The sequence below is a fragment of the Homo sapiens genome, chromosome 3, assembly GCF_000001405.40.
Source record: "Homo sapiens chromosome 3, GRCh38.p14 Primary Assembly".
Lineage (NCBI taxonomy): Eukaryota > Metazoa > Chordata > Mammalia > Primates > Hominidae > Homo > Homo sapiens.
The window spans coordinates 133,916,465-133,935,126 of NC_000003.12; the positions used below are offsets into that span (position 1 = coordinate 133,916,465).

The 18,662-nt window shown below is 44.7% G+C and overlaps 1 protein-coding gene and 1 long non-coding RNA gene across 2 annotated transcripts in view, besides 1 other annotated feature; both read right to left on the reverse strand.

The window, feature by feature from the left end:
• Positions 10,977-11,506: a silencer, noted in NCBI's record as "silent region_14751". NCBI's record gives its function as "represses an Ori minimal core promoter by ATAC-STARR-seq in GM12878 lymphoblastoid cells {active_cell/tissue: GM12878}" and the evidence as "EXISTENCE:reporter gene assay evidence [ECO:0000049][PMID:35858748]".
• Positions 11,681-13,348, reverse strand: C3orf36 (chromosome 3 putative open reading frame 36). The gene has a single exon (NR_161373.1). It is a non-coding gene; the product is annotated as a chromosome 3 putative open reading frame 36 (long non-coding RNA).
• Positions 16,237-18,662, reverse strand: part of SLCO2A1 (solute carrier organic anion transporter family member 2A1) — a 97,225-nt gene continuing 94,799 nt past the window's right edge. The window contains exon 14 of the mRNA NM_005630.3: positions 16,237-18,366. Within this exon, the coding sequence (NP_005621.2) occupies positions 18,249-18,366 (118 nt within the window). The 3' untranslated portion in view covers positions 16,237-18,248. The remainder of the gene's footprint in view (positions 18,367-18,662) is intronic.

Consider the following 18,662-nt stretch of genomic DNA (forward strand, 5'->3'; position numbering starts at 1 on the left):
CAAAGACGTGGAATAATATTACAGGGGTGTTCAGATAAGCACTTATTTGTAGATTCCTGACACATTGCCTTAACAGCCGGGGCTGATAAACATTTTGTTCCTTCCCCTGCCCTCCATGTGTTCCTGTAGCTCTAATGGGCTGATCTTTGTAATCTCATAGAATGCTGAGTGAAACTGTGGTTTTTAAACTCTGAAATGTATGTAAGCATATTAAATGAGTTTCTTTAAGAAAATCATGGATTGAAGACTGGACTTGATCAAAAAACAAAAACTTTATTCTTCAAAATAGGTACCTTGTGAGTATAAAATTAAACTGTGGGATAATAATTAAGCTTTCGTTTAACAAGTAAGAGGCTGGGCGCGGTGGCTCATGCCTGTAATCCCAGCACTTTGGGAGGCCGAGGTGGGTGGATCACCTGAGGTCAGGAGTTCGAGACCAGCCTGACCAACATGGAGAAACCTCGTCTCTACTAAAAATACAAAATTAGCTGGCTGTGGGGGCACATGCCTGTAATCCCAGCTACTTGGGAGGCTGAGGCAGGAGAATCACTTGAACCCTGGGAGGCGGAGGTTGCGGTTGGCTGAGATCATGCCATGGCACTCCAGCCTGGGCAACAAGAGCGAAACTCCGTCTCAGAAAAAAAAAAAGTAAATATTGTGCTCTGATAAGAGACAACAAACATTTGAAGGTATTTTGGGGTAAAAAGCTATTAATTATAGCATTTTAAGTTCCAGATGAATTTCAAACAGTAAAGACTAAAGTGTTATTACAATTTATGTTAAGTGTTTAAACTGATAGTTTTTTCCCACATAATTTGTTTTCTCTCCTATCAGACAGTGCAGACTGAGAAAGTCACTTCTCTTTTTTTAAGTTTAAAAAAATCAGACTTTTGGCTTGAAGCCATCTCTGGCTAAAATAAGTTGCAGGGCAGGTAATCTCTTACCTGCATGATAATATCTTACCTTAATATGATTATCTCAGACATCATTCAAAACAACTTCAGAAATGTAAAGGTAAATCAGTAAAAGTTTGACAATTGGAAATGCTTTCTATTTGAGGACATTTTAATACAAAACCATTTATTTAAAAAGGTAGTAGCATGCGATCGTATAATTAAACTGTGAGTATTGATTTTAATCTAAAATTTACCCAAAACCTCTAATTAAATCAACCTTTAGGAAATCAAATATTAGGTATGAGTTTTACTTTAAGAATGATTCTATGTTTTATCCCTGGGATGATGGTGCAATTGCAATAGTGCCCAACTGAAATACGTGCATGGCATTGTAACATTGTATTTATTATTATTATTATTTTTTGAGATGGAGTCTCATTCTCTCACCCAGGCTGGAGTGCAGTGCTGTGATCTCGGCTCACTGCAACCTCCACCTCTCAGGTTCAAGCAATTCTCCTGTCTCAGCCTCCTGAAGAGCTGGGACTACAGGCGTGCGCCACCATGTCCGGCTAATTTTTTGTGTATATTTAGTAGAGATGGGGTTTCACCATATTGGTCAGGCTGGTCTCGAACTCCTGACCACAGGTGATCCAACCGCCTCGGCCTCCCAAAGTGCTGGGATTACAGGCGTGAGCCATTGCACCCAGCCTGTAACATTTTATACTGTAGAATATAATACACAGAAGTATATTAAGTATAAATGTACAATTCAATGAATTATGACAAAACAATTTCCCACCATGAATTCAAGAAGTAGAACGTTGCCACAGTCATAGAAACCTCCCTCATGCCCCTCCCCATTACTAAATTTCTCTCCTTCCCAAATTTAACCACTTTTATAACTTACAATATGATAGTCTAGTTTTGCCTGTTTTTGAAATTATTGGTTATGTGTTCTTTTGTGTTTTAGTTTTTCACTCAATGAAATGTTTGTACTGTTCATCCATGATGTTGTGATTACTGTGGTTCATTTATGTTTATTGGTGTATGTATATTGGATATGTTTGTGTATATGTGTGGTATTGTCTCCAGTTTGGGGCTACTATGAATAATGCTGTTAGGACACATCTTAAACGTCTCTTGGTGCACGTGTGCAGTGCATTTCTGTTGAGTATGTGCCTAGGAGTGTAATTTCTGGGTTAGATGATATGCAAGTATTCAACTTTAGTAGAAAATGCCAAAATGTCTTCAAAATGAATACACGAGTTTACACTTCCACCAGCAATGTATGAGAGCTCCTATTGTTCCGTATTCTTGCCAACACTTAGTATCATCAGTCTTTTTAACTTTAGTCATTTTGGTGGGGGTATTGTAGATTCATATTGTGGCTTTAATTTTCATTGCCTTGATGACTAATGATATTAAGTACATTTTAATATATTTGCTGGAGATATCCTCTTTTGTGAAGTATCTGTTTAAGTCTTTTGCCCATTTCTCTATTGGGTATATCTGTTTATTGTTTACATGTAGAAGTTTTGTGTACAGATTCTGGTACAAATCTTTTGTCTGCTGTATAAGTTGGTAATTTCTTTTCTTCTCCATGGCTTGCTGTTTCACTCTTTTAATGGCGTTTTCAATGAAAATAAGTACTTACTTTTAATGTAGTTTAATTTATCAATTTTTTTTATGGTTAGTGCTACTTGTACAATGTAATGTCTTTCTATAAGGGGACATTACTGAGGTGTTCCACTTCTGCTGGGAGGTAGAAAGCTGCACGTGAATGTTGTTCCCATTCTTAACAACAACAAGCTCAGGCAGCCTGCAAAGGCATAACTTTTCATAAATCCATCAGAGAGTTGAGGTTGCATGGCAACCCAGAAACACAAAAACTATTTTACCTTTAGTGAAACACAGGAAGAAGAGGAGGCCACCATCTAAGTGGGTGGAAAGAAATCAGCTAATATTTTCATAAAGTCCTAAAAGCTGAGTTTGGTCTAACATATCAATCGGGAATAACTGAGAGTTCCAGATACGAATTTGCACACACTCACAAGATTCTCCATGGTTCTTCCCTGGGTGCTTATTAGAAAGACGTGGCAGAACAAGAGATCAGAGAAGCCTTCCTTGGGTGGTGCAGACATGCAGAAGGTGATTGGCTATGGCTGAAACACCACCTATTTCCTTCATCTCCTACCTTATACAAACCAAAAGCCTGAAAACATTGGGATGGGGCAGCAAGCCTTCACACCCCTGTGCTATTAGAGGAGGAGTAGGAACATGTCCTAGAACAAAGTACACTCTAGACCTGCCTTGCAAATGCCTAAAATCAAGCCCTAATGAGATCCTTAGAGGAAACAGAATTTGGAGGTTGAGACCCAATAAATTAGAAGGGCTTCACAAATATCTGGGATTTTTATAGATTTTTCCTGACAAAGTATATAAAACCAAGCCTACATAAGTTCAAGGTGGTCAGCTAATAAGTGAACTATCTACTAGAACAAAAATCACCATTCTTTAGATGATGATAGCAGAATCTGGAGTCTCTACAGGATGTCATTCATAATATCCAACAGATACTAAAAAATAACTAGAATAGCAAAGGAAAACGAAAACATGACCTAAAGTCCAGAAATAAAAGTAATCAAGTGAAATTGAGCATGAGATGGCCCAGATGTTGGATTTAGCAGACAGAAAATTTAAAGTAGCTATTATAAATAAGGAATTATAAATTAAAAATAAGGAATTAAAGGAAAATATATTCAAACAACTAAATGAGAATATTATTTTAATGAGTGAATAGTTCAGGAGTCTCAGCAGTGAAATGGAAGTTATTAAAAAAGGATCAAATTGTATTTCTGTAAGTGAAAAATATAAAAACTGAAATTAAAAAAATCACTGGATGGTCATAAGAGTGGGTTAACAGAAGATGGCAGAAGAAAGCTAAATAAACTTAAGACAGAGCAATAGAAATTATCCAATCTGAGGACCACAGAGGGAAAAAAAATGAAGGAAAATGGACAAGACCTGTGGAATGTATCAAATGGTCCAATATGGTTAATCACAGTTCTAGAAGGAGATGAGACAAATATGGGCTAGAAAAAATATTTCAAGATATAAGGCTGAAATTTTCTCAATTGAAAAATAACTCAGTGAATCCCAAGCAAGATAAAATAGCCCAGTGAACTAAAAATATAAATATATAGAGATAAATATAAATAAAAGATAAATATAAGTAAATATAAATATAAATAAAAGCACACTTAGGGACATCATGTCAAATGGTTGAAAACCAAAGATAAAGAGAAAATATTGAAAGCTGCTAGAAAACAAAACATAACAAGACACACTGCATACAGAGATCAATGGCACAAATGGACTGCTAACTTCTCAGCGTAAATAATGGAATCTAGAAGACAATGACATGACATTTTTAAAGTGCAAAAGAGAAAAACTGCCAACCCAGATCTTTATATTTATATCCAGTAAACAACATCTGTCAAAAATAAGTTAAATAAAGTCATTTTCAGGTTAACAAAAGCTGAGACAATTTGTCACCATGAGAACTGTGGTACAAGAAATTCTAAGGGATGTTCTTCAGGCTAAAGGTAAAGGATTCCAGGTAGAAACTTGGATCTATGGAAAGTAATGAAGAAGGCCAAAAATGGTAAGTAGTAATCCAACTCTATAACTTTGGTAAATAGTTTAATATTTCTTATAAAGTCAAATATATACTCGCCATATGATCCAGCACTTCCACATCTAGGTATTTACCCAAGAGAAATGAGAACATATGTATATAAAAGGACAGTAACACAAATGTTCATAATGGCCCCCAAACTGGAAGCAACCCAAATGTCCATCAACAAGTCAAAGGCCGAAACATGTAGATATATGGTATTTATACAATGGAAAACTACTGAGTAATATGAACTTGGCACCAAAACTAGAATTCATAAGAGGAAAAATTAATAAATCAAATCTCATAAAAATGAAACTTTTTGCTTTGTGAAAGTTCAGGTGAAGAGGATGGAAAAAATGAACTAGAGACTGGGAGAAAGAATTTGCCAATCACACATCTAACAAAGGACTAATATTTACAGAGCATAAAGAACTCTCAAAACACAACAGTTAAAAAACAATGTAATTAGAAAATGGGCAAAAGATGTAAACAGACATTTTACCAAAGAGGATATACAGATGGTAAATAAGCACATGAAAGATGCTCAACACCATCAGGGCAATGCAAATTAAAACCACAATGAAATGTTACTACATACCTATCAGAATCACTAAACTAAAAGGGTGACAATATCAAATGCTGACAAGAATACAGAGAAACTGGATCACTCATGCATTACTGGTGAGAATGTAAAATGATATTGCCACTCTGTAAAACAATAGCAATTCCTTAAAATATTAAACATGCAATTATCGTATGACTCAGCAGTTACACTCTTGGATATTTATCCCTGATAAATAAAAACTTTTCTTCCCACAAATACCTACATACAAATATTCATAGTATATTTTATTCATTATTAGCCTCAAACTCAAATCAGCCAGATGTCCTTCAAGAAAAGAATGGTTAACATCATTCTCAGCAAACTAACATAAGAACAGAAAACCCAACACCACATGTTCTCACTCATAAGTGGAAGTTGAACAATGAGAACACATGGACACAGGGAGGGGATCATCACACTCTGGGGCCTGTCAGGGGGTTACGGGGGTTAGGGGAGGGATAGCATTAGGAGAAATACCTAATGTAGATGATGGGTTGATGGGTGCAGCAAACCACTATGGCACATGTACAGCTATGTAACAAACCTCCACATTCTGCACATGTACCCCAGAACTTAAAGTATATATATAAAGAAAAGAAGTGAATGGTTAAACAAATTGTGGTACATCCATACCATGGAATACTACTCAGTAATACAAAAGAGCAAACTACTGATACATGCAACAACTTGAATGACTGTCCAATGAATTATATTGATATTGAGTGAAAAAATACATACCATATGATTATATATACCATATATTATGTGTATCATTATATATACTATATGGTATCCTCATTACCATACCTCTACTCCCCAGGGAACCACTGATCTGATGTCTATCACTGTAGATTAGTTTTGCCTGTTCTAGAATTTAATGTAAGTGGAATCTTAAATATGTCCTCTCACATTAAGCCTTCTGGGTGAGATACATCCATGTTGTGTGTGTGTATACATTCTAGAATATACCTTCTAGAAATGAATTTTAGAAACAAAGGATAGATTTTAGAAATGAAAGATAGATTAGTTACATTTTAGAAATGAAGGATAGATTAGTGTGATTGCCAGGGGCTAGAGATGGGGTAGGAGGGGGCAGGAGGAAAGGAGGTGAGTGTGTTTATAAAAGGGCAACAGGAGGCTGGGTGCAGTGGCTCACGCCTGTAATCCCAGCACTTTGGAAAGCCGAGGTGGACAGATTACTTGAGGTCAGGAGTTTGAGACAAGCCTGGCCAATGTGGTGAAACCCTGTCTCTACCAAACACACAAACATTAGCCAGGTGCAGTGGCAGGTGCCTGTAATCCCAGCTACTCAGGAGGCTGAGGCAGGAGAATTGAACTCGGGGGCAGAAGTTGCAGTGAGCTGAGACTGCGCCACTGCACTCCAGCCTGGGTGACAGAGTGAAACTCTGTCTCAAAAAAAAAAAAAAAAAAAAAAAAAAGGCAACAGGAGAGATTTTTATGGTGATGGAAGTGTTCAGTATCTCCACTGTGGTGGTGGATACATGCAGCTACACAGGTGATAGAATTGTGTAGAGCTATAGACACACACACATATATGCACACACCAATGAGTACAAGTAAAGCTGAAGAAATCTAAAATAAATGGATTGTATCAATGTCGATATTCTGGCTGCAATGTTATAGTGTTGTAAAATGTTACAACTGGGGGTAATTAAGCAAAGTGTACAAGGGATCTCTCTGTATTTTTTTTTCTTTTTCTTTTTTTTTTTTTTGAGATGGAGTCTTGCTCTTGTCGCCCAGGGTGGAGTGCAGTGGTGCAATCTTGGCTCACTGTAACCTCCGCCGTCCCGGGTTCAAGCGATTCTCCTGCCTCAGCCTCCCAAGTAGCTGGGAATACAGGTGCCCACCACCACACCCAGCTAATTTTTGTATTTTAGTAGAGACAGGCTTTCACCATGTTAGCCAGGCTGGCCTCGAACTCCTGACCTCAGGTGAACTGCCAGCCTCAGCCTCTCAAAGTGCTGGGATTACAGGCGTGAGCCACTGTGCCCGGCCACTGTCTATATTATTTCTTACAACTGCATGCAAATCTACAAATATCTCAAAAAATTCAATTAAAAATATCTTGTGGAAAATTAACCAAGCATAGGATAGTTAAGATAGTATTTTCACTTTTTCAGATAGTCTTATCAGCATTTTTATGTGAAAACTGAAAAATCAGACACTAAATTTTTGCCTTCATAGAAACTTAGATGATCTGATTGTCATAATCTGATCCTACTTAAGAAGCTACTTATGGATATAATGGAAAACAGGAATATTCAACAGGCAGTCTTCATGATAAGCCTTTACTAGGTTCATTCTACAAATATGTGACTTTTAAAACTACATATTTTATTAGATATTTAAGATGTAGTAAAATCATTTGAAACACAAACTGATGGGCTTAGGCCATTTGAAATAATGATTTCGTGACTATTAAAGATGTTGATAATGTAAAGATTTAAAAACGATTTTTAAAGTTAAAATTCATTTTGCATGTGGGGGAAGGAATAAACTACTGATTCATACAATAACATGGATGAATCTCACTCGAAGGCATTATGGTGAGAGGACATACTTAAGATTCCACTTACATTAAATTCCGGAACAGGCAAAATTAATCTACTGTGATAGACAGCAGATCAGAGGTTCCCTGCAGGGAAGAGGTATGGTAATGAGGAGACCATAATGGAGCAGGAGAGAACTTATTTGGGAGATGGAAATGTTCTATATCTTAATTTGGATATGGAAGTCACATGGATGTACACATTTATCAGAACAAATTTACCTTATTCTACAAATATATTGGCTGGGTGCGGTGGGCTCATGCCTGTAATCCCAGCACTTTGGGAGGCTGAGGTGGGTGGATCACTTGAGGTCAGGAGCTCAAGACCAGCCTGGCCAACATGGCAAAATCCCATCTCTACTAAAAATATAAAAATGAGCCAGGTGTGGTGGTGTGCATCTGTAATCCCAGCTACTCGGGAGGCTGAGGCATGAGAATTGCTTGAACCCAGGAGGCTGAGGTTTCAGTGAACTGAGATTGCACTACTGCACTCCAGCCTGGGCACCAGAGCGAGACTCTGTCTCAAAAAATAAATAAAAATAAAAATATATGGATACTATTGCATGTAAGTTAAACCTCAAGACAATGATTTAAAAACACTAATGATGCCAAGTTTTCAAAATGATACGGAGCAACTGACTTCTCCCATACCAGTGGGAAGCATTAAATGGCATGACTTTGGAAATAGGCAGTTTCTTACAAAGTTAAATGTACACATACCCTGTGATCCAGCAAGTTTTGCTCCTAAGTATTTCCCCAAGAGAAAAGAAAACATAGGTCCACAGAAAGACTTGTGCACAAATGTGCACTGCTTAATTTTTAAGCAGTTTTATTCACAATAGTAAAAACATTATAAACAAATGCCAAAAAACAAATGAACAGAAAAACATATTTTGCCTAAATGCCAAAAAATAAATGAACAGAAAAACAAATTATGATCTATTTATCCAATGAAATACTACCAAGCAATGAAAAGGACTGAACTACTTATACACATAGCCACACGAATGAATTTCAAAAACATGCTAAGCAAGAAAAACTAGATACATAATGTATTATATGACCCCGATTATATAAAATTCTAGAACAGGTTAAGCTAATCTATAGTGAAATAAGGCTTATTGGTTGCTTGCACAAGGAAGGAGGGTGGAGTGAGGAGGTGGGGATAGTATTGTCTGGAAGGAAGTATCAAGAAATTTTCTGGTGGTCATGGAAATGTTCTATATCTCGATTAAAATGGTGGTTGTGTGGTTGTATACATTTGTCAAAACTCATTGAACAGCAAGTAGGCTTAAAATTAATACTTTTCATTGTTCATAAACTATATGTCAGTAAAGCAGATTTTAAAAAGTCTTTTTAAAGCTTATTTTCTATTGTCTCCAAGTTTTTGGTCTAATCACCTAAGGTTGGAATGCCATTAACTGAGACAGGAAAGTCAGTGAAAGGAGGTTTGGGGAGGACGAGGAGCTCAATGTTGGATTTGATTCTCTAGCAGGCCACAAGCAGTCACCTGGCGATCACCACTTGTTCCTCACATCTTCTGCCCATCCATCCTCAAGCACGGCCAATCTTCCCTGGTCATTATTTCTCAAACAGCCTTTCTTTCCTTCTGGGCTTGTCTTTTCCAACATCCACCTGGATTTCTGGTGTTTTAACTTGACTTTTTTGAGTGTGTGTGTGTGTGTGTGTGTGTGTGTGTGTGTGAAAGTTTTAAATACCTACAAGGGCCAGGCAGATGATGTGGGAACCGCAGCCACCCTGAGAGGACAGGGTCCATCTGAAGGACTGCCCTCTACTCAGCTCCAATCCATTGTTTTTGGGCTGGAATGCTGCACCAGGGTTTTTCAAGAGAAAACCCCAGTCAAACTCTCCCAGTGTTTGGAGCTAACTTAAAGACATGCAAATATCTTGTAGGCCAACTAGAACTCTTGTGCTGGGCCCAGGCTCAGCCAGTTTCCAATGCCTGTTTTATAACAAGGCAAGTTCTGGTGCTGGGATGGGCTCCCGCATGGCCTTTTGCTAACCCTGCATTCTGCGCTGGCTCATCCTGGCTGCCAGGAGCCTGTGGGTGCCTGGGATGCTCCTGCTGCTTGCTGGTCCTGCCCTCGGCTCTGACGTCTCCTACTCTAGTATCCCAGTGGCCATAATGACAAGTAGGCCTCCCTCCTAAGGACCTTTGCCAGCCAGGTTCCCTCTTCCAAGTACACATGTAGCCCCAGTGGCCTTTTACACCCTGAAATCTGGTTGCATCTTGCCTCTGTTAAAATTCTGTCAGCGACGCCCCATCATCCACCAGCAGCACCCTGTTAGTTACTAAAGGAGATGTACATGATACACTCTCTCCCTCTAGAATCCACCACTCACCACGCTCTGCCTGAGGCACCTTGCAACTGGGGGCGCTACTTACACCCTGCCCTCCAGGCAAACATGGTCCAGTTTTCTCATCTCTGAGTCTTCACTCCTGCAGTCCCCTCCGCCCAGAACACCTTCTCTAAGGCCCCTGTCAACAAACTTACCCTATCCTTCCAGGCACAGTTAGAGCTCATCTCTGCTCCAGATCTCCAATCCCTAGGGAACGGGCCTCTTTCACCTTTGTTAATCCACCACATACACCGGCTTCCCCCTGCATTTCCATGCAGGCATCTGTCTGTCTGTTTGCACTTCTCCTTCATGGCACTATTGCACCTGTAATTGATCAGCCAATTGCAGCCACAGTTTGGATGCTTTCTTGGTTGTCTGTCTGCCTTCTGTTTGTCTTGTTCACCTCTATAGGCCTGGTGCCCGGCTTGCCCGGGTACCTGAGTCTGTGACGGGATGGGTACCTGCCCCTTTCCCGGGGTGGACAGTGCCTGGAATGCTGACAACAGTTTCTTTCCGACATGCAAGCCTATCTCGGGGCCAGGCCCCAGGAGGTGCTGTGGTGAAGGTTTTGGGAATTGGAAGGAGGAAGCAGAGGCTACCTAGCCCCCTGCAGTGGCTGAATAATGGTTCCCAGATGGTGCCAGTGACGCAGTGGGGAGGCTGACAGCTTCTGGGTGCGAATGGCCCCACAATGCGGCCGGGGACCACCCTGCTCACGGCCGGTCAGAGAGCCTGAGGAAGCCGTGTGTTCCCGCGGGCCCTCTCGGTGCCTCGTGGCACCTTACTCTCTACTCCTCTTGTTCTCTAACGTGTTTAATACACTTTCGTGCAGAAAACATAAATAGACTAAACGGTGCTTTATCGCGGGCAGTCAGAGAGGAAGTTTTCTCGAGGCTGTGTCCCGTGAGCAGGCGCCGGTGGGCTCAGCCGCCGGGCCCTCCGAGTAGGGGAAGGCGTGCGTGCGTGCGTGCGGTGGGCGCGGGGAGCCCCGCAGGCCCGAGGGCGCCCCGGCGGGGAAGCGGGCTATCGGAGGCGCGCTGAGCCGGGTGGTGGAGTCCCGCCCGGCTGGCTGTGGGGCCGCGGGGGCGTCCCGTGGGCGGGCTGGGCGTGGCGCCTCCGCGGGTGGCTTCCCCGGGCCGCGGCGGAGGGGCGGCGCCCCCTGGTGGCGGAATGCGACTCCAGGGCGCAAGGGGCCGCCCACCCCGCCTCGCCCACCCGGCGGGGGCCTCCGCGCCTTTTCTGAGAAAGCCAGAGGAAAGGAGCCGAGACCGCAGTCCCCTGGGCCCGTTTCCTCGTCTGTGGAATGGCATGATTATTGCATCTCACAGGGCTGTCGTGAAGATTCAAGGAGCAAATGTATGTAAAGCGCTTCGGATGTCTGGTACATTCTGAGCCTTCAACCCACCTGAGCTGTTGAAACTCTGGGATTCAAGCGATTCGGGTCAAAGAGGAACGGTGTGACACCTGCCTCTGTCCTTTCCAAGGTGGACTCAGGGATTGCATACGTCTCATCCAGAACCCCCAGTCTCTCTTTTGTAAGCTGGCGGTCATGAGATGTAATGAGGAAAAGGTTTAAACAAATGTTGGTCCCTATCTGGGACCTCTGAAGTCACTTTTAATGGATTTGGGGATTTTACAGATTTAAAAAGGGGTGCCTACTGTGGCCCATTTATAGACCTGTGGAGCGAAGAGAAGGAGATTAGTCACACTGGGGGCCGGAGTAGAAGCCGTTTTAAATTAGTTGCCCCGCTCTGCCTTGAGACTGAGACTTTCTGACTCTCAGTTTCACCCTTGGGTTCCAGCACCCAGATGAGAAGAGAGAGAAGGTGGAAGAGGAAGAGAGGGAGGGGATAGAGCAGCGGCCACCACCTCTCCCTGAGAGGGCGCAGAGTGGGTGGTTCCCCCCAGGTGAGCAAGGTGGGGGCCCCGTGGGTGTGCTGGGTAGGGGTGGAGTGTGCTGGGAGCACGCGGGAGGACTGCGCCTCTGCTCCTCGGGGTGTGGCGCGGCCCACTCAGGAGCCCCTTCCAGTGTAGACTCCAGGAGGGTACTCTGAGCTAGGAATGCCTTCCTGAGCGTGGTTGGTGGGGGCTCTAAGGCCATTCCTCCAGGCCCTGAGGGGGCAGAGAGACACGTGAGCACTAACCCAGGAGCCGGGACTAGGCTGAGCCCACTACTCACAGCCTGGGGTAAGCCAGCCTCAAGACCCTCCAGGATGGTCTCAGCCTGCATCCGACTGCCTCTCCTGCCTGACCACTGCGCTCCTTCACAGGCCTCTGGCCGGCGAGTTCTCAAGATGTGCAAAGGTTTCCTGCTTCCTTACCTTTGCACACCTTTGCTTATTCCTTTTGCCCAGAAAGTCTTTCCCAGCACATTTGACTCTCTTGAATTCCAGTCTCTCCCGCATGGCTAGGATCAAGCCCGTTCTCCCATCGCTCATCAAATGAACTCAGAGCATAGTACTTTGCCCTGTGTTAAGGTCTTGTCTTAGCTCTGGATTATATGTCCTTGAAGGGTAGGGACCATGTGTTTGTCACCACCTGTCCTTATACACATCAGGTAGTACATAAATCAAGGGAGGCGTGAGGGACAACTGGAAGGAGCCTCGTTTTCTCCATGTACAGGATGGGACTAGTCATAGTGGCCGCACAGGGCTGTGGGAACTCTGGTGCGATTCTGCCATGAGTCACCCCATCTCCTCCTTGCCTGCAGGGTCTCGCTCCATCAGCTGTCCTCTTGGACCCCGCAGCCTCCCCATCCTGTGGCCTTTTGCCCCAGCAAATCTCTCCTCTCTGAAGCCATCCTTTCCTTGACCCTGCATCTCTCTCAGCCACCACCCCATCTCTGCCTCCTCTGAGCAAAATCGTCTTTCCCACCTCCCCAGCCCTCTGCAGACTGCCTCGGCCTTGCCTGGGCATCATCCCCTCAGCTTCAGGGACCCACAATTGGTGCTTCCTCCATTGGGAAATCTTTCCAGACTGTGCTTCCCAACCCCGACAGCCCCGCAAAGCTGGTTTAAGTGTCCCGGTGAGCAACTGTGTCCACCTAGGTTCACTACCCACAGTAGAGGGTTTTAGTGCTCAACCATATCTGCTCTTTTCTTCTCCTGAGCACACAGAATATTCTGTTCCGCTCTTGCGGCAGCTAGGCTGGGAGCAGAGTGAAGAGCGTTACTTTGGGACAAAGCATTGCTTAGCAGTGCGGGATCTTCCAGGACTTTCTTCCCCTGCCCCATCCATCATGGCAGCTTATAATGAAATGGAGGTACCTCAGGTTCCAAACAGTCTGAGTTACTGAGACACTGGTTGGGGGGGCTCTCAGGCCAATCCTCCAGGCCCTGAGCAGGCAGAGGGGCACTACTGAGCCACTGACCTGAGAGTCACCCAGATCACCACAGGTTCTGTGAGCGAGATACCATCTTTTGTTGTGTCAAGTGACTAAGATTCGAGAGGTTTGTTACCACAGCATAGCCAAGCCTTTCCCCACTGATTTACTGATTAAAGAAGTGTTTTAAATGGGTTAATGGCTTGGTAAACTGTAAAGATCTGTGCACATTTTAGTTATTATTATTGCTGTCAAGTTGTAGCAGGGCTGGAGACATGATGTGGCTGGAGAGTGGAGGAATGGCCAGGGTATGCCATGGAGAAAAACTTCCTCTCATTTATGATTTGCCAAGGGCTTTTCCAGGATCTGTTTCCATATTTAATCTCTGATGAAAGGTTATAATGAATCTGGTGTCTGGTGCTACTGGCAGGAGATGGACCTTTCTTCCAGGTATTTACTTCCTGTGGTTGCGAAAGATAGGATGTATTTCTTCTGGATTTGCTGCAATATAATATTTTAGTATCAATTTGATACTGACTGGCTTCAGCCTCCAGCTTAACTGTATCTCTCCATCTTTGAGAGTGGTTGAATAAAATCACAATATGGCTTTGTTTCTTGAGCAAGAATCTGCTAAGCAGTCACCAGATGGAGCTGTTCCCTTGAAGGTCTGTGTGCAGGATTCTCAGGGCCTTTTCTTCTCAAAACCCTTCCCTCTTTGTCTCTTTTCTCCACAACTCTCTTTAACTCATGGTGCTATAGGGATAAATTGGCCCTGTTTAATGAATAGTTGTGATGTTGTTGCTAGTTGAATAGAAGGTAAGTAAATGAACTGTTACCTGGTTCTTTTGCCTTTGTTACCCACCTTAATGGCCCTCAAGAGATTCCCCCACTTCCCTCCCATGGGCCAGTGAACATCAGTGGGAAAAGAGGGGCCTCCCCACCATTTTAGTCCATGCTGACTCTTCAGAATGACTCAGCTGGGGCAATTGGGCTGGACCAGAGAGAAGTGGACAGCCTGGTTTGAGTCTAGACCTGGCCAGCTATTATCTATGTGAAATTGGCCACAATGGTTGCTTCCTCGGGATCAGATTCCTCACCTTTACATGGGGCATCCATCATGGAGGATCACCCCAAAGGGCTTTGGGCCAAAGGATAATTGATAGAGATACGGTATTTAGTTATCACTGTATTTGCGCTTTTTCCAAGAAGGGTAAAAGAAGGATTGAATAAAAAAGGTTCCTGCACACTCTTCCTTTTCCGGCTTTTTTGTTCAGCCCTTGAGGAGCGGGATTCTGTAGGGAGAGGGAGTGGTGCAGAGGAGTGGGCTTCCTAGGACTGGGGCCGGGAGAGGGCATAGCCGCGAGTGTGCACAGGGAGGTGGGCCTAACCCTGGGGTCTCGGCTTTGTAGGGTTTCCAGGCTCAGGTGAGAAGCAGGGCCATTAAACAGCCTCAAATGGGAAAGGGACCAAAGACCCACAATGGCACCCTTGAATGCGTAGGCATCCAAGGACCTTCAGATGGCTCTAGGAGCCAGACCCAAGCATGGTTGATATTGAATTTCCAGCCAGACAGTAGGATGGGGGGTTTGAAATCAATAACTGATTTAAAGAAATAAGTGATTTTTTTCTTTTTGCACATCCAAGCTTGTGAAGTGAGAATGTCTCTCTCAGTACTGATAAGGGCCTCATATAAATGTGAGCTCTTGGATTGTTTTTCATGCCCATTGACTCTTAGTTGCAGCCATCCAAAAAATCAGATTCACAGGCATCTCTTCACCTTGTTATCCTTCACTCACCTTTGAACATACCAAAGGCCTATCGAGCCTGTAAATTTCTCAGTGGCCTAAGCACAAATGGGCATACCCCAGGCTCTATTGCACTGACAGCCCACCTCACAGGATTTGGGAACTACCCACATCAATCTCATGAGGGGGCCGTTAAAAGAGCCATTCCTGGGTCCCCATTAGACCCACAGAAGTAGACGCTGGGGCTGGGTGGAGGGTGTTGGGAATTTGCATCCTCTGTGAGTGTCACACACTCAAGAAAGTTTGTTAAGCTTTGCTCTAGAAGTGAAATGAAAGTGACACTATTATATTCCCTGCTGACAGCTGAAAAGAAAGATTTTCTTGGGAGTAGTAGTACTGGTTGTGACCATGTGATCAATTTGATTATGATATTAATTCTGTTTTGTGCCATGGACATAGCTGTTTGCGTCCAGCTCCGCTTCTGGATATAAACCCAAGAGCAGTGATGCGGCCTTCTCAGAGCCCAGCAGAACTTCACTGAAGGAATAAGCAGTGTCTGGTACTTGCCTGATACCAGGCTAATGGGTTGACAGTTGCATTACCTCTAATCTCCATGGCCATGGGCCCCTGGGGTCTATGTCATGAGCACTTCCTCTGTTTACAAGATGCAGGTGCCGGCAGGGCGCAGTGGCTCATGCCTGTAATCCCAACACTTTGGGAGGCTGAGGCGGGAGGATCACTTGAGGTCAGGAGTTTGAGACCAGCCTGGCCAACATGGTGAAACCCTGTCTCTACTAAAAGTACAAAAATTAGCCAGGTGTGGTGGCGCAGGCCTGTAATCCCAGTTACTCTGGAGGCTGAGGCAGGAGAATCGCTTGAACCAAGGAGGCAGAGGTTGCAGTGAGCCAAGATTGTGCCACTGCACTCCAGCCTGGGTGACAGAGCAAGACTCCATCTCAAAAATAAAATACAAATAAAAATAAAATAAAATTAAAAAGTGCAGGTGCTGTCTGTTCTCTGACAGATGTATATGACAACATAAATTCATGACCAAGTTACCTCAATAGCAAAATTAGAATATTTTAATAGTAATATAATAGAATAAAGGTTTGGGAGTGCAACCAATCTTCTAGAACCTGAAGGTTGGCATTCATTGTTCATAAACTCAGCTGAAGGCAGTGCCTTCCAAATGTGGTTAAATTGCCATGGGAAAGACCAGGGTTAGTTGCAGGGCATCATTTTCCAAGCAGAACCATTTCAAATGCTAAAACTGGCCCCTGAGGTTACATTGAGCCTCCCTTCCTGAGTGAGATGTTTGGAAATGAGGTGGCTTTGGAAATAAGCTTGTCTGTAACAGTGGTTTCCACAAAGACTTCAGTCTCATGGCATTGGACTTTGTTTGGACATTGACATAAATATTTTGGCATATCACCATATGAGGCTTTTCCAGAGGTGGCTTCCAGTATGCTTCTGGAGGGGGTCTTCCAAGAAGGGTGGCACTTAAGGGTCATGAATGGCCATGACCCATGCCCAGCTGTTCCAGAGGACATGGGGAGACAGAGCTGTCTGGCAAAGGGCCAGGTGCAGAGTCAGTCTGGGGGCCATGGATGGCATGGATAGTCAGGTCAGGATCCTTCATGCCAATCTGTGGCTTCTTGCTGTCCCCACCTCTCCTCCTGCTCTCACCAACTCCCACACCCCCAGTCCCACACTGCCCACCGAGCACACCCTGGGAGAAGGCCCTAATGTAAATGGAGGGAGGTGAGGTAAGAGCTGAGGGAAGCTCCATGGAGAACCCTGATTAGCATTGCTTTGCACAAAGTCGGTCTCCAATAAATATATTTGTTGATGAATGACCTCCTTCGTTGGCTTCTGTCTCTCAACATCTATCACGTAGCAGCTGTGTCTCTCAACCCAGGCACCCACCTCTCTGGAGGCAGTGAGAAGAGGCTGAGAAAATGGGAATGGTATGAGCATGTCTGAAACCAGGAAAGCCAACCTGACTGGCTGTTTTGTGGGCCGCAGCTTGCCATCCAGCTTGGTGACAGTGGACATCCACTCTGCTTCATCACTTGCTTTGCTGACATCTCTTCTGCCTCTCTACTCCTCGGAATACGGGCTGAAGTCCAGACAGGGAAGTGCATGTGAAGCCACCTCATCTGCTGCCAGGGAGATGTGGGAGGTTCTTCCCATTACTCTGAGATGAGGGGGTCTCGTCCCCACATTGAAGGGGTGGGAGGTTGGGCATCAGGACCTTTTCATAGGCCTTCCTTGGGTCTTCACTGTGTTGTAGCTTCCTCAGTTTGAAACGTACCCCAGAAAGACAGGGATAACATGTGAGGATCTAAGGACAGAAAGTCCAGGGTTCATATGGACAGCACTTAGATGACCCATCCTTGGGGTTTCTCAGTCCCTGCTCTGGTGCCTGCATGCAGGTAATGGGCAGAGACTGTACTTCCCAACATGGCAGCATCCAGAATGGCCTCTAGGTACAGGAAGTGAGGGTCTGAGGGGGAGGGAGCCAGCCCCTCCCGTAGTCTGTGCTGATGCCAAACCCAGGTGTGAAGGGGGTTACAGCCAGTCTCCCCAGTCTCCCAGTGGCTCTGGCTATTAATAACTCAGCCACTTCCTTCTTCCTTTCACCCCTGCCACTCTGCAGGGTGTGGGCAGTCAGCGGGAGAGTGGAGCTGCCTGGCAAGAAGGGCAGATACCCTTTTTCTCTCTCTGTTTAGGATTCCCCCCAGGGCTGGTGAGGGGCCTGGCTGCCTCAGTGGGCATCCTCAATGGAGGACTCAACACTGAAGTGAGCCTGGGCATCTGGGGGCCTCTTCCAAGGGGCCAGGGAAGACTCAGCCCCCCAGTTCTGGCCCACACAGCCCGGGTACACAGTGGCCCTTAGGAACTGTGGGGAGGACTCTGGGAGGAAGAGGTAGGGAAGGCAAATGAGGACTGGGGTTTTCTTTCTTGTTTAAAAATACAAAAAGGAAATGACGTGTTAACATTAGTGAGTATAGGCAGGTGTGGAAGAGTCAAGGTCCACTCTCTGGAGCAGGGCAGTGGCCCAGGGTGGGGTCAGATGAGGCCTGCCGCCTTCTGCACGTTGTACTCCTTGTTCTTCTTCACCCTCCAGCTGATGAAGCAAAGCAGCAGCATGCCCAGCGCCTTGTAGCCCATCTGCAGGCCCAGGTACCTGTGGGCAGGAGGAGGCAGGACTGGTGAGGGAGGGGGCTCTGCAGCCCACATCCCAGGGCCAGGACCACTGGGAAGAACCACATCATTCCCACGCTGGCCCGCGGAAGGTGTGGGCACCATCCAGGTGAGGATCACTTTCCTCATTTCTTTGACCCAAAAGGGAACAAAGCTGTAGGGAAGCAGGCAGGGAGTAGGCATGGGACTCTTAATCCAGGGCTCATCATCCCTCCACTGGCTCTTTCCAGAGGGCCAGAGGTGACCCAGCTGCCCCAGCCACCCCCAGACGGTCCTGAC